Raw genomic sequence first — 26,022 nt, forward strand, 5'->3', positions numbered from 1 at the left:
CATTGTTGGTGGGACTGTAAACTAGTTCAACCATTGTGGAAGTCAGTGTGGCGATTCCTCAGGGATCTTGAACTAGAAATACCATTTGACCCAGCCATCCCATTACTGGGTATATACCCAAAGGATTATAAATCATGCTGCTATAAAGACACATGCACACGTATGTTTATTGTGGCACTATTCACAATAGCAAAGACTTGGAACCAACCTAAGTGTCCAACAACGATAGACTGGATTAAGAAAATGTGGCACATATACACCACGGAATACTATGCAGCCATAAAAAATGATGAGTTCATGTCGTTTGTAGGGACATGGATGAAGCTGGAAACCATCATTCTCAGCAAACTATCGCAAGGACAAAAAACCAAACACCGCATGTTCTCACTCATAGGTGGGAATTGAACAATGAGAACACATGGACACAGGGAGGGGAACATCACACACCGGGGACTGTTGTGGGGTGGGGGGAGGGGGGAGGGAGAGCATTAGAAGATATACCTAATGCTAAATGACGAGTTAATGGGTGCAGCACACCAACATGGCACATGTGTACATATGTAACAAACCTGCACATTGTGTACATGTACCCTAAAATTTAAAATATAATAATAATAAAATTAAAAACAAAAAGGTGGAGGGGTTTGGAGCTGTATATTGGTAGAACAATTGGGAGGCTATCACTTGCAGTAAACTGAAAGTGACTACCAATCTGTAGTCTAGAGAAGGTGATTTTCAAGAAGAATATTGCAGGTATAAATGGTCTTTTTAAAGTATTTCAAAAAAGTGAACTAAAGAGGGAAATGTTCAGTTTTTGAACATAATTTAGAGGAATTGTTTACAAATGAGAACTTGTTGTGTTGGAAAGCAAAACTGTTCTTCATTCCTAGACTTTCCAGTTGGCAAAAGGTTTTTAAGGTAAAAACAGGTCTCAGTGCAAGTATCAAGCACAAGGTGATGACAGTAAACCGTGATTTCAAATAGTAAAAAGTCAAGGAAGGGTACAGCTATAAGACCTCTTTTAGAGAACTGAGAAATATTTAAGATGGTGCTTTATAAACTTCTCAGCCATGCAAAAGACTTATAGGATGTTAAGGGTATGTGTTTTATACTCTTATAATTTGATACTCAGGAAAACCACAAAGCTTTGAAAGGAATTATATTAGTTTGCACTAAAAGGAACAAAGATATTTAAAGCAAAAAAAAAAAAAAAAGATTTCTAAATCCTACAGGCCAAACATAGCCTGAGAAAACTATTCACATGCAAATGCAGGATATTATCATAGAAAATAAAGACCCCAGAGGGTGGAACAAAGAGCTGCAAAACAAAACAAAACAAAAACACTCTCAGAGAGTAGCACTGAGTTCTAATGAACACACTATTTTTGCCCCTAGAAAAATAAAGAGGGCTAGATTCCAGAATTTCAAAATTAGTGACTGTTAGGTGCCTCTCACCACCATACAGATCATTTTTAAAGAAGATATTATATTGTGGTTCATGTATCCCTATCTCACCATTATATGTCCCTATCTGAACCTCAGCATACAATATGGGTAATAGATAACTTCAGTTCACAGATCTACAGATCAGGGATAACTGCACCAGAGGAGTCTTATCCATTATTTGAATATCATTTCAGCAATGACATTCTGGACTCTATGCCTGAGCCTAATGCCATAAAGGAATGAAGCTTTAGCAGTCTTCTGGGAGAGGCAAGTAAGTATATTTTATATACATACACTCCCGTGAACAGTGAAAAATGAGACAAGTTAGCCTACCATGGTTTCACTGATGCTGTTAGAAGACTTAAAACTCATGGGTCAGAGCAGAAAGATAGACTATTCTTCTTAAGAATAGAAGTATCAGAGCATTTGCATTTTTGTGCTAGTTGCACAAGTCTCACTTCTCATAGGGTGAGGTGAAGAGGGCCACATTCCACCTGCACATGCAGCAGGTTGTGTTACAGGAGATGAAACCCAAGTCTAGGGAGCCCAAATCTTTCATCATTGGCAGGATGCTTGCTTGCCCTTGCTCTAGATACAGACATCAATTTTATTATACTGGCCTTTTGCTCCAGATAGAGACACTATGTTTACTTCAGAGAGCATCTGTTATACAGATACTCTCATAAAGAGAGTCCAGAACAAAGTCAGCTGGTGCATCTACTTGTAGGAAGTACAGAAATGCAAGACAATCATGGGGATTATCTCCCAGCAATTACTTTCAGTTATTAGCAAAAATTTCTGTTTGTTTGTTTTAGTACTAGACATATTTCTTTTTATTTTAAAAACTTTAATCTTAATTCAGTTCAGAAAGGATCCCCTTGCCTTATCTACCACAGGCTAAAACCTTGCCTCCTCAGCTCTTGGAGTAAGGTGGCAGAGAAACCTCATCTTCTTCCGTTTCTTGGCATTTAGTTTCCACAGTAGGGACACTGTGGAGAAATGAGGGTGGCGGACAAGTATTTGTGGTGGAGAGATTCTCTGACCTCACTCCGGTTTCAATTGGTCTCACCTTTTCTCCTAGCGTCCTATTCATATGATGCTTAAGTGCTACACAGACTTATTTTTTTTCACCTTGCCCCAGGCTCTTTGCCTCCTCCAAAGTACAGTCTTGACTCTCTTTGACAAGTCAAAGGTACAAAATCCCCAATCCTTTCTCTAATATAAACATCTAATCACTTGACCTCTATGGCCTCTTGAGCAGCTCTGCAGCTCATCCCACACCACTGACCCCCATGGTATCCTTTCTTACACATTCCCATAACCCTAAGGGGCCCTATTTTATTCCCAGACACATTACACTATGACCCTTTGAAAACCTGAAGGTGTATCCCATTCCACCAGACCTCCAGGCCTCAGAAATCTCTATACAAGGAGAAGCACAAATATCTATGTTCAAATTGCAGAGGGTACATGTCAAGTTCTCCTAATTTTTCTCATACCTGAATAAAAGCAACCGAAGAGAATAGTGTAACATACTCTGAGATTTCACATGTTTATTCTGAGGATACTCTCACTAAAATCTTCCCTAGCATTGGCCTGAGTTGAGATTTTAGTCTCTGCATCTCAGCAAGTCTCTAGTTGGGAAAGACAAGACACCAAGCATCTCTTTCTGCAGGAATTCCCCAGTCTCTATGAAAGATTTACTTACAGTGCCTAACTTTGTTTTGGGGAGGCAAAGCAACATTGCTCATATATATTTATCAACTGAGGGGCGGCAGTAAGACTGCTTCCAATGTCTCTTGGCAAGCCCTGCAGCACTGTAGCTAGATTCTACTCTAGGCTACTTGGAGACATCTTTCTGAACCTGCAAAGTAGGGTGCTAATGACCCTTTGTTTTCAGCTTTATCCTTTCCCTACAATTTTGAAACAGAAAGAAAAGTCACAATCAATATTTTGACTGAAAAGACAATTCACAATATAAATTACATTATGATAATCTATTCCTATTGTGTTAATGTTGTATCATATTTTTGTTGATATTCTTATAACATACCCCAAATATTTATTGGAAAAGTGGATTACAAGAAAATTCCACCCATAAAACAGACATCTGTGTATATAGTATGCATACACTATTTCTGCCCTCCTAAGTTTTCTTGTTTATCTGAGCTGCTTCTGGATTGGAGGTTCACATGACAATCATAATCACAATAGTAGACCCAAGGTGGAAAACTGAGGATGAGCTAGAATACTATGTATTCCAAGTATATTTTAGACAACTTCTAGTGATTTTTTGGTTCTCTTTAGAAGTCCTTTATTTTCCCAGGCTGCATCGATTCTCTACTCAATTTGTCACCATAATGATGTGAAGCTTTTTCAACTCTCCTCCAACCCAGCTCAAATCCAATATTAATCACATATTGCTTCCTTCACTTATACCTCAGGATCTTTATTTTTAGTGTAAATAAGGACTACCTATGACCTTTGCTGAAATTCAGATTTACAAATCTCTGGCATATAAATTTTATTAGCTCAAGAATTTAAAAATTTTAACAGAATTTTTGCATAATTTGAATGTAAGTGATACATTGGGCCCTCTATTTCCCCACCCATATAAGGGGTGGCATTCTTCAAAGTATTATAAATACTTTGGAAGCAGCATAATCTATTAGATGAAAGTACTGGCTTTAGAGTCAGCCAGGTGTGCATTCAGATCCTGGCTCCATTATTCATTAAAGCTTTCTTCATTTTTGAAGGAAGATAGAACTTTGTTGACAGCTAAGGGCAATAGAAGGTATAATTGCCTTAAATATGATAAACAGAGTGTGAAACACTTCTGCAAAGAGTGAGATAGTAAATATTTTCAGCTTTTCAGTAAATATTTGGGCACAACTACCCAACTCTGCCGTGGTAGCATCAAAGCAGCCATAGAGAGTACATCAGCAAATGAGAGCAGCTGTGTTCCAATCAAAATTTATTTACAAAATCATGTGCTGAGCCAGATTTGGCCCACAAGCTATAGTTTGTTCACTTCTCTAAAAGAACATGAAAATGATAAAATCACATTTATGAATGCATTGATTATAAAATATAATTCAGCTATCATTTTGTAATCCTTTAAATAAGCTGTCTTAAATGATAGAAAATGAAAACAAGACTAGATTATGGGGTTATATTGTGGAGAGATTGAGCGCTACTGTGCCAAATTTTGTATCTCTAATTGCTACACATCTTTCCAATGATGTGGTGGCAGTTATTTTAAAAACGAGATTTGAGGTAGAGTGCATTACTTTTCTATCTGCAGTAATTGAATTATAAACCTATATTCTTTGGCATGTAGCTTTCAGTGCTTTCCTATAGTTTGTGGAACAAATTTTCCAACCCCTTGACTGTTTTTTTTTCATGTGACTTTCTTTCACCAGTGGAATATTAGCAGACGGGACATGAACAGAAGTTTATAAAGCTACTTTTGAACCTATGGTAGCACAAGAAGGATATGCTTAGACTAGTCTGCTGGTCCCACAGGAGGATATGCAACATGTGAGGCAGAGCCATGCCCAAGTGAACTCAACTGGTTCCAGAGTATGAATGAGAAGACCAGTAGAACCATCCATGCAAGACTGACTTGGACAAATGTCAGCCAATCTGAAGATCTGTTGGATAACTGATTCAGCGTTTTAAGCCACTAAGTTTTGGGATACTTTTTAATGCAGCGTTATTTTGGTCAGAGTTAAGTGGTTAAAGAGTCAATATTCTTATACATATTACACACAGTCAGATAGACAGACCGATACACACATGTGCACACACACAGAGAATAATATAGGTCTAATGGCTTAGAATTTACACTTTAATTTCCTTCTATTACTTGACACATTCTTTATTTTTCAGTTTCCATTGCTGGTTTCAGGAAATGATGCTAGAGAGGTAGGCCAGAACCAAATAAAATAGGATGTGCCAAGAAAGACAGAACACAAGTAGACATAAGAAGCCACTGAAGGATTTTAACCAACATCTCATATTTATACTGTAGTTTAAAATTGTCATATTGTCAACCAGGTATGCATAAGTAGAGTTTTATTTTTCATAAAAGAATTATTTGTACATACAGCTTCATATCTGCTAATGGAGAAAATAACTTAAACTTGGCCCTGCCAGGCAACCCATTTTCTTCCAGTTTAAAACTTAGTCTTTTTCAGGTTAGCTAGGCCAATTCCAGGTGCTCGTCCTACCTTCTTTCTCCCATTTCTACACCACCCTTCTTTTTTGTCTCTCCCTGGGAGATATCTGAGCTTAAGGAAAAATTCGTTAAGAGTGGGGATCGGAGAGACCTCTGTTCCACTAGTTGCCTTCTGGACATTTTCTGGTCTCCACTGTTGATGTATCCATCCCTTCTGGCCTTTGGGTGCACTGAGGCATCTTGCTATTGTCTATGGTTATGCCATAGCTCCTAGTCAAAAGGCTCACATTCTTTTTTATTATTATTTTTTTTTTGACAGAGTCTTGCTCTGTCACCTAGGCTAGAGTGCAGTGGCGTGATCTCAGCTTACTGCAACCTCCGCCTCCAGGGTTCAAGTGACCCCAGCCTCCCAAGTAGCTGGGATTACAGGTGCCCGCCACTGTGCCCAGCTAATTTTTAGAAACGGGGTTTTACCATCTTAGCTAGGCTAGTCTCGAACTCTTGACCTTGTGATCCACCAGCCTCGGCCTCCCAAAGTGGTAGGATTACAGGCGTAAGCCACTGCGCCCGGTCAAGGCCCATGTTCTTAATACTTTCCTAGTCTCACTCCCATGTGTCTTCGGATCTGCTTTATCACATTTACATGCCCTTGGCAAATAGGAACTTATGAATGTTTCCCATTCACATGTATGCTGTAGGGAACTAGAATCAAGGGTTATCTTGAGCCCATTCTTTCTGCTTAAATACGTTGCATACATACAGGTGTTCTTTGAGATGGTACTTCCCTAAAGGTCGAAAGTAAAGGGAAATACAAACCCACTTTCAGCTGGGTTTGAAAGGTAAGAAGAAGACAGAATCTAAGGTAATGCCTCTCAAACTTTAACAAGTTATGAATCATTTAGCAATCTCTTTAAAATGGAGACTTTTATTTAGTAGGTCTGTTTTGGGGCCCAGAATTCTGCATTTTGAACAAGTTTCCAGGTAGTGCTAATACTTCTAGTCCATGGACCACACAATGAGAAAAAAGGATCTCAAATTCTAAAGCACCTGAAGACTAACTGGAAAGCAGAGTTAATGTAGAAGAAAGGGCTTAGGATAGCTTACCACCCTCTCAATTGGCCTTGCCAACTCTTTAGAACTGTTTGACTTCCCTCCTCAGAAATCCTGAAACCCACCAAATTTACTTTCAAAGTTCACATTCATCACTCTGTATTGCAGCTGCTTTCTGTTACCCTAATTAAAACAGTTTTCTGTGCCTAATTCTTTTGGTACTGCTTTTGCCTAATCCAGCTGAGCACAGAAGATTCTCAATAAACGTATGAAGAATAGTCTGTACTCTCAAATTAAAAGCTATGGAAAATATTCCAGTATCTTTATCGAATATCTTCATAAGTTTAAACACAACAACAACAACAAAACTTCATCAACTAGTTTACTTGTACTGATAATGTAGAGTGAACAACCTAATCACCCACTTTCTGGTTATTAAATTTAAAAAAAAAAAGAAAGAAATGTATATGAACTTTGGAAAACTGAAGATATTATTGAGATTTCCCTTTCCCTCTCTTTTCTTCTCCATCCCCATCCTGTACTTCTTGCCCTATAATATCCATTGACTAAGTGTTGGAGCTCTAAAACTAAAATATTATAATCAATCTAAGATTGAATTTTGCTATATAAGATTGTAATTCATCTCACGTTTACATACTATTCCTCTTAAATGATTAATAATATAAAGTAATATACATATAATGTGTATTATATATTGTATTCATCTGATTTACACTGCTGATAAAGACATACCCTAGACTGGGAGGAAAAAGAGTTTTAATGGACTTATAGTTCCAGATGGCTGGGGAGGCCTCACAATCATGTTGGGAGGCAAGGAGGAGCAAGTCATGTCTTACATGGATGGTGGCAGGCAAAAAGAGAGTTTACGCAGGGAAACTCCCCTTTTTAAAACCATCAGATCTCAAGAGACTTATTCACTCTTATGGGAAGAGCATGGCAAAGAAGTGCCCCCATGATTTAATTACCTCCTACCAGGTCCTTCCCACAACATGTGGGGATTCATGATGAGATTTTGATGGGGACACAGCCAAACCATATCATATATTATGGAAAATTTTCTAAGATAATGCTTCTAGAAGTCTTTTTCAAAATATAAAAATAATTATTATAGTATAATCTGTACAACATTCAAACAACCAGTTGGTGAGGTTGTAAATCAAATGAGAGAGGAGGAACTGATCCGGGTAGCAGGAACACATTTCCAAGTAAAATTTGCAACAGAGCATGTTGAGATCATGGTTTTAATTTATGAATGGCATTATTATCTTTAAACTATTATTTTCCAAGCTCATATATGGCCTTTTTGAAGGTTTTCTGAATGTTACATTTGATTTTAAGATCTAATCCAAAATGAAATATAGAATGTGCTTTGTTTTCTATAAAAATGCCAATGACTATCTCTTAAATTAGTCAAGGAAAGACAAATTACCAAAATTCAAACTTATTTGAATTATTTTTAAGTGATTCCAGGCAATAAATACATAGAACCCATGGAAAGTTTTAGCTTCAAATCACAAAATTGCAAAAAAAAAAAATTGTAAATGGCTAAACATAAGGGGGGTTATGGAAAATATTTGGTCACCTTAATTATAGGTTTAAATGCCACAAACAATATAATAATAGTTTTAACTTACTTTTTTTGATTACTAAGCAACTAAACCAACTTTACAAATGTTAAATTCAATAAACTCAATATCTCTTTAAAGCAGGATTTCTTTCTCTCCCTGGGCATCATTTGCTGATAGATAAAAACAGAGTAATAAATAAGTGGCTTCCTGAAGGCAGGTAAGGCAACCTCCATGCCAGACCAGTTCTCAATACAGTGACCAAAATTCCCCCCATTTTCTTGCTTTTACTCTCTATAACTGTTAATTATAATAAACCATATGGAAATGTTTTCCTTAAATGATATTCTTGCTCTATTGTATTTTCATTAATATTTTTACTTTATTTCATTTATTAATATGAGGATGAAACAGTTTGGCATCTCTTTTTCCACCACTCAGTGTTATTTTCAACAGATTGTTTTCTATTATTTGACAGTTTTCTGGAAACCACCTACTCATTCATGTTCGATGTGGTCAGACCACTGTGGTGAACTGAAGACTGAAGACCACCATTACTATTTGTTTAATGTTTACATTTTGTTTAATAGGGGCTTCCTATTTGAGACTACTTTGGGAAATGCATCTCAGATAATTATGGCAGGAAAACAGTGGACAAAAGTATAAATGATGCAACCCTAGACTGGAATTCTCAATCTTGTCTTCCAGTGAAGAAATATGTTTTTACTACATTTATGTCTTTCTGTGCACTATTTCTTAAGTATAGAAATATTTTGTAAGGTAGACAAGAGAATTTATGTGTTTAGTCCTTACAGATTTTATTTTTATTGATTTCACAAGTTGTGACAATATTTTGCCTGAAAGCTCAGTTATATTATTCTTAGATTTCATTTGTTGGCAGCCACTATTAGTTTATTTATTTAAAAACTATTTTACGTAGAAAAAGGTGCTGTGGCTGTATCCTGAAACCTTAGATGTTTCTCCCATTAGACTTATCTATTTTGTTTGTGACATGATAGCTTAGCAGGGCACAGTAGACCATTAGGAAAATAAGCAAATTCTTATCTGGTAGTCATTAGCTAGAATCACTCATTCTCATTTCTCTCTTGCCTGAAAGTTGGTTCTTTTCTCATCCTGGAAAATATTTTGATAGAGAAGTAAGTGCTGGTGAAAAGTGAATATGTGGCAGATGGACTGGAACGGAGAAGGGACTAAAACTACATTTGTCTATGTAATCATTGAGGGGGTTAACAAAGACAAATCAGTGACTAGCTGCTGGCATTATCATATTTCAGGGCTTAAGTTTTGATGTAGAAATAGCAAACTATGAAACACGTTCATCGTCAATCTCTTCTGCTTTTTTGAAGGGACTTCTAAGCTCTGTCAGCTAATAGCTTTAGATAACAGAGTTTTAATACACCGTATTGATAACAACTATTATTGTTATCAATCACGAGGACCTTCTATTCCTTTATCAATATCAAGGACCTTTTATTCCTTTTACTAAAAATGTCCTAAACATTCATCATTGCTGACGTTAAGTATCTTCTGAGTGACAAAACCGGCAGAGGAGGGGTTTACAGTAGTTTCTGTTTAGTCCTGTGAATTAGAAAAATTAAGAATAACATGTTCTTTTTATAAAGTCAATATCACTGAAATTAAATTAAATTACAGAAAACTTAAAACTTAAGAAAACTTAACAAGTACTTGCTACTTACAAAAGTAATTTAAGTATTACTTGTCAAGCTTTAATAATGAGCAGATTCCTTTTAAAGGGAAAAAATGCTCTCACAGACCAGTGAATAAGAGATTCATGAATCCAAATTTGAGAGTCCTCAATTTAAGAAAATATCTTTCAGGTGTAAATTATCAAAGAGAAAGAAAATATTTTGGCTTTAAATATAACAAAACAAAGTTTTTAAAGATTAATTTCAAAACAAAACCAGAGAAAAGTCCTATGGATCTTGTAGATCCCTAAATAAGGGCTCTAACCTGAATTTCTGGATAAAAACCTAGCAAGATACTTGGGAGCATATGACTTATTTAATAAATTGCTGAAAGAATTTATACATTTTCTAAAATTGCCTAATTTAAAGTTGGTAATGTCACAAAGCCTGTGAGTGAATATGACTCAATCTGCATTTCGGAGAACTCAGTAATATACATAATTTGTAATAACATATTTATGTAGTAATTATGACATGTTCCAGCATCATCATTTTGACAGAGATCAGTGGGAGAAAATAATTAGATTATATTGTCAGTGTAGAGGAAATGGTCACTGAACCACAGCCAAGTTTTATCGGGGCAAAGTATCATAAGATATGGGCCCAAATGATTACTTTTTATGGAAAGATTAATAAGTGTGGATATTGGCCATGGGAGGAGAGTCAGTGACTCTTTAGTTTAATAACAAAGTAATGAGGAATTCGTCATCTGAATTCTTGCTGAGCTAGTTACTTAAATGCACCCATGGGAATGAAATGAGGTAATGGTGAAAGCCTTTTGAAATCCCCCAAATTGTCCTCATTTAGAAGAAAAAGTCCAGAGACCCTAATTTCAATTAACTATTTTCTAAAATACTGAGGGAAGAAGGTGTGGTTTGTTATATGGAGGTTTTTATTTTTCTCTAGCAAGTCTCAGTTTTCTGAGAGCCCCAAATTAAAAAAGAAATTCCAAGTTTAGTGTAAGAGGCAGTGAGGAGAGAAGCAAACGGATATTTAGCTACCTCCTTCCCTCATAATTCTATGTACAAACCAGAACCAAATGCTATTACCGCCACATTAAAGAAAAGAGGAAGAGTGGTTGGCCATGCTAACAGAGCTTCTATCAGACATTAACCCTGTGTGTGGTGGTTCCAGAAGCCAGTTCTCTAATTCTTGACAATTTTTTCATAAGCACTGACTAAGGAACACAGAAGGGGCCAGATATTGTGATATCACTGTAAATCCATCACTCGGTTTATTTAAACATATCTCAATTCTATGTAGACAGAAAGTACAAACATATTTGCAACCTGTTTATTAGTCATCATATTTGATATATTTTATGGAATGCCCTTGGTATACCAGGTGCTATGCTAAAAGGCTTATATATCTCATCTTAATTAAACCTTACACTAATGCTAGGAGCAGGTATACAGCCAAATATGTGCGATATAGTACATGAAAGATACAAGATTTGAAACCCATCTGTTTCTTATTCCTACATTCTAAGCCACTTCATTATTCTACTCTTCCATTGTTTTTGCTTCTATATAGCCATTTAAGACTAGGTGATATATTCCAAAGGAGTTTGTTGACTCATAGGTTCATTTAGATTATAGGTTTTAAATCTAGATGGTAATTCACACATTTGGGATTTCAAGTCCAGTCGCAACTGGTCCGCTTCAGTTGTTTATTTTTAAAAATCCAGCAAATATGATTTTTCCTTTTCCTGTGCTATGAATAATCATGTGGACAGTTTCCACACGAATAAGAACTCATTGTATGAATAGTATATACAATGACTATATGTTTTATATGTTTTAATACATATATATGTATAACATATATATATGTTTTATATATTGTATATTATTGTATAAATAGTATACTTACTATTTATACAATGAATATATACTGTAAAAATAAATATATAAATATATATGCTATAAAATATATATATTGTGTTGCAGTGGTGCGATCTTGGCTCACTGCAACCTCCACCTCCAAGGTTCAAGCGATTCTGCTGCCTCAGCCTCCCAAGTGGCTGGGACTACAAGCACGCACCACCACGCCCAGCTAATTTTTGTATTTTTCAGTAGAGACAGGGTTTCACCATGTTGGCTAGGATGGTCTTGATTTCTTGACCTCGTGATCTGCCCGCCTCGGCCTCTCAAAGTGCTGGGAATTCAGGCATGAGCCACCGCGCCTGGCCGACACATTTATTTTGCTACTTAATCAGCCATAACCTAGATGTCATATCATTGCAGTTCAGTGTAAGGCTGGAGAGGTAGATTTTGGCCACACACATAAACACACACACGTGTATACACATACATGTATAAATGCACACATTCATCAGACCAGTGGGAATCTGGGTCACGGTATTTCATGGGCAAAAGGTTTGGAAAGATTTGATTAATAAAGTAGGTAATGACATTAGACTACAAAAATTATTCTGGAAATCAATGATCTCAATGTATTCTTGATTCCTCCAACTATCTGTTGTATCAAATTCCAGTTTGAGCATCATATTTTAAGACTATTGCAAGATGATGGGGACCTAAAATTAGTACTAATATTAAGATGGTGAAAAACTGAAGGTGAGTTTAAGAAAATGAAAAAGATGCTTAGTTAAATGACAATTTTCAACAAGTATTTAAAAGGTTGTTATGTAGAAGCAGGAAAGAACTTAGCTCTATGTGGTTCTTAAGAGCAGAACTAGGACCAATGGCTAAAAGCTACAGGGAAGCTTTTAGACATCAAGTTCAACTCAGGAAAAACTTTCTAGCAATTAATACTTTTCAATAGTTAAACAGGTGAACCTAAATTCTCACAGAATGGGAAAAAATGAAAAGTACCCTAGAACTCTTTTAGTCTTGTTTCTTAATTTTATGGATGAGGAAATTGGGGTTTGGCAATAAGTGATTTGATGAAGGTGATGAAAACTAACTGTGGATCCAGAGTTATAACTCTTTCTCTCTTGTTGTACAAACTAATGTTTTGGGATTTTTTCCTTTTTTTAATACTCCATGCCATCTCCAAAGCAGTGAACTTGTCGTTGTTTTTCATTTATTCATAAAATGTTTAATAACTAATCACATGCAGTCCAGTAGGGGCTTTGTAAAAACATGATAACTTTGAGCAGATTTTGTTGAAGGAGACTTACTCAATTTTTCAATTAGAGATGACTAACACAGAAACTGGCATGTAGCTATTGTTAAATCAATTGAACAAGACTGAATAAAATGGAGGATTATTCCGTACACTCCCCAAATCCTTCTGACTCTCAGCCTAATAGCATATGAACTAGAAAACAGAATTGGTTCAGAAACAGAGGTCTAAGAGTGAGACTATGGTATAGGCAGGGTCAGTAGAAGAGAAATGAGGGGAAAGAGAAGGACTCTAGAGAAAGCAGGAGGAGTAAAAAGCAAAATCATAACAGAGTCAGAGTTATGGGATCTGCTTTGGAAATCAAAACTTACATTAAGGAAGGTTTAAAGATAGGCATGCTGGAAAGTAGGGGGTTAACAATAGATTTCTTTCTAAGTCACATGCAAAGTAATTTTTTAAAATATTGTAGTGAAAAGGTAACAAAAAATAATTTAACACTCCCATTCCTAAGCTATTATTTGGGGATAAGACGAATTCTAGTCCTTAAAGCATCTTCTATGATGCTCTTTTTCATCTTATATTAAATCTTTTCTGGAGGAAATGTTCATTAGTTCAAATAAAGCTATTGTTCCTGGTTAAAAGAGTAATGCCAACTCGGAGTGGTTTTGTGGGTTTATTCTCCACTTGAGAATAGAGGCTTCAACTTCGTTAGCAAACCATATTGTTTTAAATTAAATTTTCAAATAAATATACTTGGGTGTGAATTCAACTGAAAATATTTTGCAAAACTAAAAAAAAATTCCCAAACTCTAAAAACATTCCAGTGGTTTTGAAAAACTGAAACATGTTGAGGTTTAGTTATTGCCAAGGATTTTAAAATAATGATTTCTAACCACACCGGCCCCACAAAACCTAGCTGCTGTTCAAGGCAACTTTCCCTCCCATACATATGTTAACAGTGACATCTTGTGGTCAGTTTTTACTTAAAAAATATACAGGCAAAGTACAGAAATACATACTTTCATCATTACAAAAATATCCAATTTCTCCTTGCTCTTCCAAATATTTCTATGGTACTTATCCATTATACAAATACTCTTTTATATTTTTAATTTTTTTAGGTACATACTAGATGTATATGTTTATGGGGTACATGAGATATTTTGGTAAAAGCATGCAATGCATAATAATCACATTGTGGAAAATTGGTGGATAGCCATCCCCTGAAGCATTTATCTTTTGTGTACAGACAATCCAATTATATTCTTTTAGTTGTTTTAAAATGTACAATTTAATTATTACTGACCATAGTCCTCCTGTTGTGCTATCAAATACTAGGTCTTATTCATTGTTTCTATTTTTTTGTACTCATTAAACATCCTCACCTCCTCCCATTCCCCCACTATGCTTCCTAGCCTCTGGTAACCATCCTTCCATTCTCTGTCTCTGTGAGTTCAATTGTTTTGATTTTTAAATCCTATGAATGAGTGAGAACACACAATGTTTGTCTTTCTGTGCCTGGTTTATTTCACTTAAATAATGACCTCCAGTTTCATCCATGTTATTGCAAATAATCAAATCTAGTTCTTTTTTTATGACTGTACATATGTACCACATTTTCTTTATCCATGTATCTGTTGGTGGACACTTAGGTTGCTCCAAATCTTGGCTATTGTGAACAATACTGCAACAAACATGGGAGTGCAGATATCTCTTCGATATGCTGATTTCCTTTCTTTTGGGTGTATACTCAGCAGTAGGATGGCTGAATTGGATAGTAGCCCTATTTTTGGTTTTTTGAGGAAACTCCAAACTGTTCTCCATAGGGGTTGTACTAACTTACATTCCTACCAACAGTGTACAAGCGTTCCCTTTTCTCCACGTCCTTGTCAACATTTGTTATTATTGCCTGTCTTTTGGATAAATGCCATTTTAACTGGGGTCAGATGATATCTCATTGTAGTTTTGATTTACATTTCACTGACAATCAGTGATGTTGAGCAAATTTTTATATGCTTTTCTGACATTCGTATATCTTCTTTTGAGAAATGTCTATTCAAATCCTTTGTCCATTTTTAATCGATTGCTAGATTTTTTTTCCTGTAGAGTTGTTTGAGCTCCTTATATATACACTGGTTACTAACCCCTTGTTGGTTGAGGAGTTTGCAAATATTTTTTCCAGTTCTGTGAGTTGCCTCTATGTTTTACTGATAGTTTCCTTTGCTGTGCAGAAACTTTTTAACTTGATGTGATCCCATTTGTCCATTTTGACTTTGGTTGCCTGTGCTTGTGGGGCAAGAAATTTTTTCCCAGATGAATATTCTACAATGTTTACTCATAGTCATTTCATAGTGAGAGGTCTTAGATTGAAGTGTTTAATCCATCTGATTTGATGTTTGTGTATGGTGAGAGATAGGGGTCTAGTTTCATTCTTCTGCATGTGGATCTGCCCTACAGGATATACTTTCATAATTCTAAGTGGTATATACTGAGTGTTGTAAGTGAAAACTTTCCACAAATATGAAATTGATATGTGAGTGTTGAAGGAGAGTGGGAAAATCATGTCTGTTAACCTCGTTAAGATGAATGAAGCTAAAATCTTCATTTTCCTGATCCCTTGATCTTTCTTATCCTTACGACATCACAGAGTACTAGGTAAACGTAATAAACATAATAACAGTTAAAATTTGTTGGACAGTCATGATGCATCTGTTACCCCTCTAAGCACTTTGAAGTGGTATTATTGCATTTAAACATAACAACACCCCCATCAAGCAGTTACGTCGTTATTTCCATTTTAAACATGAGTAAAGGGGACACAGAAAGGTAAAATGACTTCCCCAAGATGGCAACGCTAATCATTGGCAGAACTATCATTTGCCCAAGGGAATCTGACTCCACTGGATGTACTTATCCACTAATCTGAAAAAGAGATGCTGCTGGATCAGAACACATGGGTCATTATCCTCTAGCTAACCTACATTGCAGAGTGAATCATCACCTTAGGTTTTATTCCTAGTGTTCCCTGATAATCTTAAAGGCCACACTCATAAAAATTCCACCTCTCTTTTTATACGAAGTCACTGTAGTCATAGTGATATTTTCTAATTAATTCAACATGCAACTAATTTAAGAACTTGAACGCAACAGACTGATTTCAAATCTCAAGAATGAATGGAGAAAATAAACTAGTTTTTCTCGTAGATCTCCAGGTGCTATAAATTCTAAGGATCTTTCTCATTCATTTCTTGAACTAGAAATTGAAGTCTCTTCTCTTTTGTGATGCACTAAAGTTCAATTTCTCTATATAAACACATTTTGAGGTATTAATAATTAAAAAATAATGTACAAAAGCCAATCATGAGAATGTTGAGGGCTGCCTGTGTGTGTACATATATGTGTGTGTTTGTGTGTGCATGTGTGAACTTATAAATACACACCCATAGACCCTGTTTTTATGCAACCCAAACCCCATTGTGCATTTTTCTAATAACTCAGTCTATAAACCTTACCCTCTCATCTTCTCTTGATGTTTTGCATAACCTTCTGGGATATCCCTGTCTCTTCTACTTCACTGCTGGAAAAAAAATTAAGCATTCTCTAGATTTCTGTCAGTAAATTTAAGTTTCTATACTTGGCTACCCTCTTAGCAATACCTAAGCAGAGTTTAATCTAGAAATTTAGAGCAATAAAAACGTTTTAATACAGGAAATTATTTTGCTGTACAATATAGGCAGACAGTTTGCCTTCAGAAATTCAGAAATGCAGCTTTTGAGGGAGGTCAGCATCATTGGTCTCAGCTACCTGCAATACAGAAGGAAATAATTTATTTCATAGGGAAAAACATGAAAAAGACTTATCTCACACCACACACAGAAATGAATTCCAGCTGAGCTAAAGACTAAAATGTGAAAAAAGACAAAATTATTAAAATTTTGGAAGATAATATATCATAATGTCGATTTGTGAAATATTTAACCAGGTTTTTTTAAATGAGCAAAACATAAATATGATCACATTGAAGTTTAAGAACTTCTCTTTATCAAATGTAATACTGAAGAAACTGAAAAGTCAAGCCACAAGCTAGGCAACATATTTGCAAACTATTTTAAAAAAAGATGAACAAATCCTGAACAGGCATTTCACAGCAGAGGAAATAAAAATGACCAATAATTGTACTAAAACAAGCTCAAATTCATTAGTAGGCATGGAAATGCAAATTAGAACCACAAAAAGATGTCATGTTACCCAGTGAATGAAAACTTAAAAGTCTGACAATAACAAGTGTTGCTGATAATAAATTGCTAGTAAGTGAAAGAGCTGTTCAAAATTGACATATAATAGTTAAAATAAAACACTTTTAGAAAACAGTTTGACATCTTACTAGAGTTGAAGATGATTCAGCCACTTTTATTCCAGCCACTCCATTTCTAGCATACACTACAGAGAAGTGTATATTTAAAGAGGCCTGTTTAAAATAGGTCAAAATGAGAAGCAACGCAAATGTTAAACAATAGGAGGATTATCTACTGAGAACTATCCATGGAATGTAATACTATATAATGTAAAAATCATCAAACCACAGCTACAAAATTCAACATGGATATATCTCATAAACTTAAAGTTGAATGACCAAACCCATTACAGAAGAAAATACAAAGCATGCCTTCATTTATATAAAGTTCAAGAACATGCAAAACTAAACCATTGAAAAGCCATACAAGTTGTTCACTGTGAAAGTGAAACATATGTTGAACTTTTAACAAAGTAATAATAAACATAAAATTGAAGACAGTGGCTACCTCTGGTGGAGAAAAGGAGGGATAGGATTGGAGTAACAGCGGACGGGGAACTCTTCAAAGCAACTGGCAATGTCCTATTTCTTGTGTTGGAAGGTAGGTATGTGATTGTTTATTTTGTTTTATTCTTCAAATTTTACAAAAATTTATCAATGTCATATCTGTTCAATATTAAATTACAAAATTTAAAAGGACTCGCTGGTTCCACTTCCTCACCTGCATAGCCTGGCCTCTCCTACTATTCTTCACTACCATCTGAGTTATCTCATATGCAAACATTTCTCTGCTCATAGTTCTACAATGGTTGCCCATCCCCTACAGGAGTGTATGTAAAATGTATGTAGCACACAAGGCTCTGCATAAAGATACAGTCATTAAAATATCATTAATTTTCCAGTTTATCCTTTCTAAATTTGAACTTGGGCACAGACTATTAAACTTCAGTGTAGAGAATCAGTACAACCAGAATTCGACTTTGGAATCTGTACATGATCAGGTTTATTCAGCAAGTAATTGTCCACTTGATGGAATAATATATAATGCATGTATTCAGATTCTGGTGAAACATTACTTTTCTTCCACATTTCTTACATCTAAACCAAGTTTTGTTCTGATTTTTAAAAGAAATAAGCTGACGGGCACGGTTGCTCATGCCTGTAATTCCAGCACTTTGGGAGGCTGAGACGGGTGGATCACCTGAGGTCCGGAGTTTGAGACCAGCCTGGCCAACATGGTGAAACCCCATCTCTACTAAAAATATACAAAATAAGCTGGGTGTGGTGGCAGATACCTGTAATCCCAGCTACTCAGGAGGCTAAGGCAGAAGAATCGCTTGAACCCAGGAGGCGGAGGTTGCAGTGAGCCGAGATCATGGCACTGCACTCCAGCCTGGGCAATGAGACCGAAACTGTGTGGAAGGGAAGGGGAAAGGGAAGGGGAAAGGGAAAGGGAAGGGGAAGGGGAAGGGGAAGGGGAAGGGGAAGGGGAAGGGGAATCTGTAACCAGTAAAGATAAATTAGAAATTACAAGGAGGAAAAATACCAATAATCCCATCATTTGCTTTCATCTTTTGTTAATATTTTATTGCACTTCTTTCCTGGCTTTTTCCGTGTCATTATGTGTGTATTTCTTATCCAATCATGTAGTTTATACATTTTTTTAATCTTGGGTTTTAAACTCATCTTTATTTCAAAACTATTTTACTATTTCAAAAATGTTATTTTAATGGTTTCATAGTAGTCTTAATTTAAATATACTACAACTTATTTTATCAGTCCTATACTATTAGGTAGATATATATCGATATATCTATATATATAGATATATCTAATGTATATATATATCTATATATATATCTATATCGATATATATCTATATATACCCCTCACAATGATTATACAAAATCGGGCCTAGAGGAAGGGGAAGAGGCAGAGTGGTGACTCAAATGCAAGGGAGAAAGAAGTTTAGAGGAACAGGGTTTCTTTCACTAATTGTGAAGAGAGAGAGAGAAAACTATTCTGGACAGAGGACTAGGAAGCTGGATGGAAGAAACTCACCAACCAAGTGGTCATAGAAAAACGACTGCCCCTGCCTGCAGGTCAACAGCCTGAGTACTTTCAACCCTCGTGACTGGGAAGTAGGGACTTAGATCTGCTGGAGATTGGGTGGAAATGATGGTGCCATGTTTGGTGAGCTTCTAGTCCTTGACCTGGGCAAAATTAAACTTTTTCCAGAGAGTAGAAAAGCAACCCACTGTCACCATTAAAAGTTGAGTGTGTGTGTGTGTGTGTGTGTGTGTGTGTGTGTGTACTTAATATGTTAAATTATATTGAGTCACTCTGATTGACTTACAAATTTTTTCCTCAGGGTCAGAAGTAATGGACATTTTAACAGACTGAACTATATCACCAAAATACTCCCCAGAAAAGTGGTAACAATTTACTTTCCAATTGTGAATATCATACTTTTGATGCCTATACATAAATTCTTTAAGACTATTTTAACTACTTGTGTTATTTTAGAAAAATATTAATTTTAGGCCAACTTAGATCAACATAAATTTGAAGGAAATATATTGAAGAATGAGAGGAAAATTATTGTTTTTCTCCTATGTCATCTTACAGACAAGTTTTCATTAAACTGGGATGACTTCACTTGCCAAAGACATTTGATATATCAAATGCAGCCATATGTTCTAAATATAACGGATTACTGCCATGTGCATGAGTTAAGGAACATTGTATTGTGTATTGAAAGAACATTGTATTGAAAGAACATTTAAAATATATGGTTAAATTTCAAATAATTCATGTTGCAGATGTGTTCATATTTTAATGACAGAGAAGTAGGAAAATACATAGCCTGGTGTTTGGGGTATAATCAGTTTGATGGTACACCTAAGCCATATTGAAATCTGGTCCTATCTCCAAAAGAGTATATTTAAATTCACAGGTAACTCCTCAGAAAGTCTTTGTTAGGGAGGAGGAAGCAGAAACTACAAATGGATAGAGAGAATAGGATGCCAGGAAACTCATCGGTCTAATATTCAAGGAAGCATTGTGTGCATGACCTCTTGGTGCCTCACTTATGGACTGTGAATAGATTATGAGTGGATTAGCATTTCTATTGATCCTAGTTTTATTCTGTTTTTTATGATTTTTGGCATTAATTTTGACTTTTAAATATATTATATTTTTAAATATATTTTATTTTATGTTGATTATTGAGTTTTTAAAACCCCTCCTTAAGTTTTGCACTGGTGGCAAGTAAGACACTCAAATTACTCCTGTCTCAGTAGACATGCCCCTGGCTACCTTTTTCTTCCCTTATTTGTCCAGAAGCTTAGCATAGTCATGTGGCTACTGAAAGTCAGAATTTTTTACTATATCTTCCAAGCCAGACCTTTCCCCTGTGGGCTCTTTTTTATGCTTCAAAAGGCCTCCCTCTTTCTTATCTCACAAACATGAAAAGAACTCTTAAATACATTCTACTCCTAGGTGTTCTTATCCTAGCTAGTTGTAGACAATATAATAGACAATACATTGCACATGAATGTTGAAGGGTAATTATATTACTATTGCTAGGGTAAATGTATGTGTTAAAAAGAATCTACCTAGAGATAAACTCTTCTTATCTATTTTGACAAAAATATGTATGCTTCTAGTGGTATGAAGATGGCTGTGAACAAGACATATAAGATTTCCATTCTCATGGGATTTAACTTATGGAAGATATACAAGCATAAAGATTTGATCAGGATTGATGACATCTCATGCACTTTGGCAAATAATGAGGAAGGAATAATAACAAAAATGCTGGTAACAGAGTCAGTACCCATAGGTACTGACTTGAAAAGATAGGCTTGTCTGATCTGGGTAAGATGGCAGAAAATGAGATAAATGTAAACTGTTGAATTTGAGTTTTAATGATAACTACAGAGAAGGGGCTGTAGCTTAGTCATAACTCATACACTTTGCTACACAGAAACTCAGTATGAATTGACAGTTTGAAATGGTTCCACCCCTAATTCAGATAATATGTAATATGGAGGTGGGTGTTTCCAGGGTTGTTGTTTCAGGGATGCAAAATCATTCTTAGATTTGATGATTTGCTAGGACTCACAGAACTCAGAAAAGTGGTGATATTCATGGTTATAGTTTTTTACAGTAAGTTAATACACATTAATATTAGTAAAGAAAAAATGTGCATAGGGTAGAGTCCTGGAGAAAACAGGTGCTACCTTCCAGTTGTCCTCTTCTATTGGAGTTACATGGACAATGCTTACTTCTCCCAGCAATAATATGTGACAATTCATACAAAGTGTTGCCAACTGAGGAAGCTTACTTGAGCATTTGTATCCAGAGTTTTTTTTTACGGGTCAGTCACATAGGCACAGAGTGCTTGCCTGACTGACTTTAGTTACTTGTTCTCTAGTCTTTTCAGAGGCCAATCTGATAATATGTGTTCCAAAGCCCCAGGTATACAAAGATACTCTCATCAAGCAGGATATACCAAGGGACTAGAAGTTATCCCTCAGAAACCCCAGGGCCAGTTATTTTATTTATTCATTCATTTATTTATTTTTGTAATGAACAGAATTTTAACACTCTGAGTCTGGCGAGTTAATCCTTTACTGCACAGTTGCTTAATTCAGCAGGACAAAAAATGTCATAAAGGAACCAGGATCATCTTTCCATTCTGTCATTCTTGGTGTTCCTGTGATGTCTCTTTGCATGATTGTAAATGGCTAAGACAATTCCAAGCATTACATGAAGATATAACAACTATTGTTGAAGATGATGGGGGTACCTCCCTTTATCAAACTGGAAAACCCATCCAAGAAGCTTCAAGAAAAATTGCCCTCAACCATTGTAACGCAGGCTAATCATGATATACCCCATGGACTAAGGGGACTGTTACCTTTCCTGAGCACACTGGAGAGTAAATGCCTGAACACAATTCAGGTTCTACTAGTCAGGAAGAAGAGGACAAGAGAATGGTCATTGGATTCCAAAACGATCTGCCACAACCAATCCATGTTTTCACAGGAATCAAAATTGAATAAGTCAGAAGTTATAGGAATATTAAGCTCAATTTGGTGTAATGAAAAACACTGGATTCACACACTGCTTTTTATGTATTCTTAATGTAGTACCTATTACATTGTATTCAAATTATCTTTTCATGAAATGGTATTTACAGCTATGCTTTGCGGTCCTCAAGAACAGGGACAAGTCATATTTCTATGCCTAACACTTAACATACATTAAACATTAAATAAATCATTGATGAGAACATAAATGAATTAACAGAGTAGTCCAAAAAATAAACAGGGATACTCTGGCAGTAGGTGACTTCATCATTCACTTGATAAGATACAAGAAAGAAGTCAGGTATTAAAATGGGTGCTGATACAAAATAACCTTTACATATGCTTCCAATACTAGATATTTTAAAAATGAAATTGCTATATCATGAGAATAAATTGGTTTCTAGTGCTAATAATGTACTTCCTCTTCTTGTATTACCACCCCCAAATAATAATATTAATAAGAACATAATGCTTAAAGAGCATTTTATTTAGTGACCCTGTGAGAAATCAGGACAGGCAATAATAATCCTACATAGATAAGAAAATTGAGGCCATGAGGCCTTAAGTAACTTCTCCAAACTCACACAACTTATTAAAGTAGAGGAGCTGTTACAGGAAAGCAGTCCTGATCCAGACCCCAAGTGAGGGTTCTGAGACTTCACACAAGAAAGAATTCAGGATGAGACCATACAGTAAAGTGAAAGCAAGTTTATTAAGAAAGTAAAGGAATAAAAGAATGGCTACTCCATAGGCACAGCAGTGGCATGGGCTGTTTGACCAAGAATATTTATAGTTATTTCTTGATTATATGCTAAACAAGGGGTGAATTATTCATGAGTTTTCTGGGAAAGGGTTGGACAATTCCAAGAACTGGGGGTTCTCCCTTTTTTACGCCATATAGGGTAATTACCTGACATAGTCATGGCATTTGTAAATCATCATGGTGCTGGTGGGAGTGTCTTTTAGCATGCTAATGCATTATAATTAGCATATAATGAGCAGTCAGGAAGACCACAGGTCACTTTCGTCACCATGTTGATTTTGGTGGGTTTGGGCTGGCTTCTCTACCACAACCTATTTTATCAGCAAGATCTTTGTGACCTGTATCTTGTGTTGACCTCCTATCTCATCCTGTGACTAAGAATGCCTAACCTCCTTTGAATGCAGCCCGGTAGGTCTCAGCATTATTTTACCCAGCCCCTATTCAAGATGGAGTCACTCTGGTTTAAACACCTCTGACAGAGCCAGGAACATAACCCAAATAACCTGATTCCAGAGTTCTTACCCCTAACCACTACACTTTACAGTACTGACTCACTCTTTCTTGCCCACGTTCTTTGCTTCCTTTCCCTGGGCCATCAAGACATACTTCCTGAAATCTTAAAGACATAATCTCTACTCTTATTTATTTATTTAGAGACAGAGTCTCACTCTTGTCACCAAGGCTGGAGTCCAATGGCATGATCTCAGCTCACAACAACCTCCGCCTTCCGGGTTCAAGCAATTCTCCTGCCTCAGCCTCCCAAGTAGCTGGGCTTACAGCAGCCACCGCCACGCTTGGCTAAGTTTTGTATTTTTAGTAGAGATGGGGTTTCACCATGTTGGCCAGGCTGGTCTCAAACTCCTGACCTCCGGTGATCCACCTGCTTCAGCCTCTCAAAGTGTTGGGATTACAGGCGTGAGCCACCACACCCAGCCTAATCTCTACTCTTAACAGATAATTATACATAAAAAGTCTTTCAAAAATCTCCACTTCACATAACTGCTAGATTAACTCACACACTCCATTATTCTGTAAGACCTACAAAACTGTAGGAGAGAAAAAAATAGTTTTCTCTAGCCTTCATAATTCTTAATTGAGACTTCCCTGTAACAAAAGACAGATTAACAAGATGTGAAAGGAAAATTAATATTGGGACCCCAAAATCTCTAGGCTAAAGGGAAAAGTCAAGCTGGGAACTGCTTAGGGCAAACCTGTTTCCTATTCTACTCAAAGCCACCTCTCTGGTCACTGAGATAAATGCATATCTATTACCTCCTTTGGTGAGGCAAATCAGAAACTCAAAAGAATGCAACCATTTGCTCTTATCTACCTATGGCCCGCAAGTCCCATCCCTGCTTCAAGTTGGCCCACCTTTTCAGATCAAAATGTTCATCTTATATACGTTGATTGATGTCTCATGTCTCCTTAAAATGTATAAAACCAAGCTGTGCTCTCGTTACCAGAAAGGGGTCTCGATCCACACCCCAAGAGAGGGTTCCTGGTTCTTGCACAAGAAAGAATTCAGGGTGAGTCCATAGTGCAAAGCAAAAGCCAGTTTATTATGAAAGTAAGGTGGTGAAAGAATGGCTACTCCATAGACAGAGTAGGGCATTCTTGAACACACCAGGACAAACACGTCCACCCTAGGTACAATATTTGTTTATATATAGGATAAAAAAGATATGGGGAGATGAGCTCTGCTACAAGAATTTGTGATAAAGGATTTATTTTCCTAATTACTATATTTTGCAAGAATTGATATTATTATCTTTAAAGCAAAATTAAGAATGCTTCTGTTCTCAATATTCGGGACATCAGGACACTCCTAAGTCTGGGTCTGTTTAGTAAATGTTATCAATCTGTTCCCTTAACCATGAACATCTAGAGGCTAGGGATACCTAACTTTTTGGGAATGCAGCCCAGCAAGTTCCAGCCTCATTTTCCTAGCCCTCACTCAAGATGGAGTTGCTCTGTTTCAAATGCATCTGACATATTTCCCCCCCTCCCTTTACAAGAGGACCCTTAATGCTAAGGGTTGCAGAGAGATGAAGATCTGTCTTCTCTAATTTCTTCAGGCTGAATAGAGGTGATAATATTCCTGCCTAACTACTGGGTCTCTTGCATTCAGGGTAGAGAGGGGCTCAGTCAGAAAGCATCAGTATGGTGAGGGCTATTCATAACTCTCAATTTCAACAAAAGGTGATATCTGAAAGATTAATAAGTGTTCAATTTAAGAAAACATTGAGTAAGCCTGTCTTGCATTCCTACACACAGAGTACAACCACAATACATTCCAAAATAGCAAAGCAAATTAAGTAAAAGTATCCCAAGTAAACTAAATTAGAAGGCTTTCCATGAACTGGGCAATTGTTGGAACCAAGCTGATATGGGGTTGCTAGCTGATTCCAATGTGCCCAGAATTAGGATATCAATCCAGATTTTTACATTGACCAACCCTCTTATTTCTTCTCAGTAGCAGCCAGAGATCACTGGTTGGTGCACAGGAATAAGCAGGGTTAGTCTAAATTGCAGAGAAAAACCTCAAAAACAACTGAGGAGACTAGAACCTAATAACAGGTGTACCATAGTTCTTGAAACACAATTTTTTCCTCTCTTCAGTATCCCATTTTTATTAAAGACAAATCACGATAAGACTGATTTGCTTTATTATACTTGGCCTGATTATTTGTGTAAAATGTAGCAAGAATAATTATTTTTCACTTAGACTTTTTAGATTGGCTTTGATGGAACTCTCTTCCATAGAAGGAATCTCAGATAAGACTTTTTTAA

The 26,022-nt window shown here is 36.2% G+C and overlaps 1 long non-coding RNA gene across 4 annotated transcripts in view; it reads right to left on the reverse strand.

Moving 5' to 3' along the window:
- Nucleotides 1-26,022, reverse strand: part of MRPS30-DT (MRPS30 divergent transcript) — a 64,466-nt gene that overhangs the window by 16,118 nt on the left and 22,326 nt on the right. For 2 of the 4 annotated variants that reach the window (NR_109863.1, NR_109862.1), the window contains exon 2: nucleotides 16,592-16,656. The exons of the other annotated variants lie outside the window; for them this stretch is intronic. This is a non-coding gene — a long non-coding RNA (MRPS30 divergent transcript). The remainder of the gene's footprint in view (nucleotides 1-16,591; nucleotides 16,657-26,022) is intronic. 4 annotated transcript variants of the gene reach the window in all.

The sequence above is a fragment of the Homo sapiens genome, chromosome 5, assembly GCF_000001405.40.
Source record: "Homo sapiens chromosome 5, GRCh38.p14 Primary Assembly".
Taxonomy (NCBI): Eukaryota; Metazoa; Chordata; class Mammalia; order Primates; family Hominidae; genus Homo; species Homo sapiens.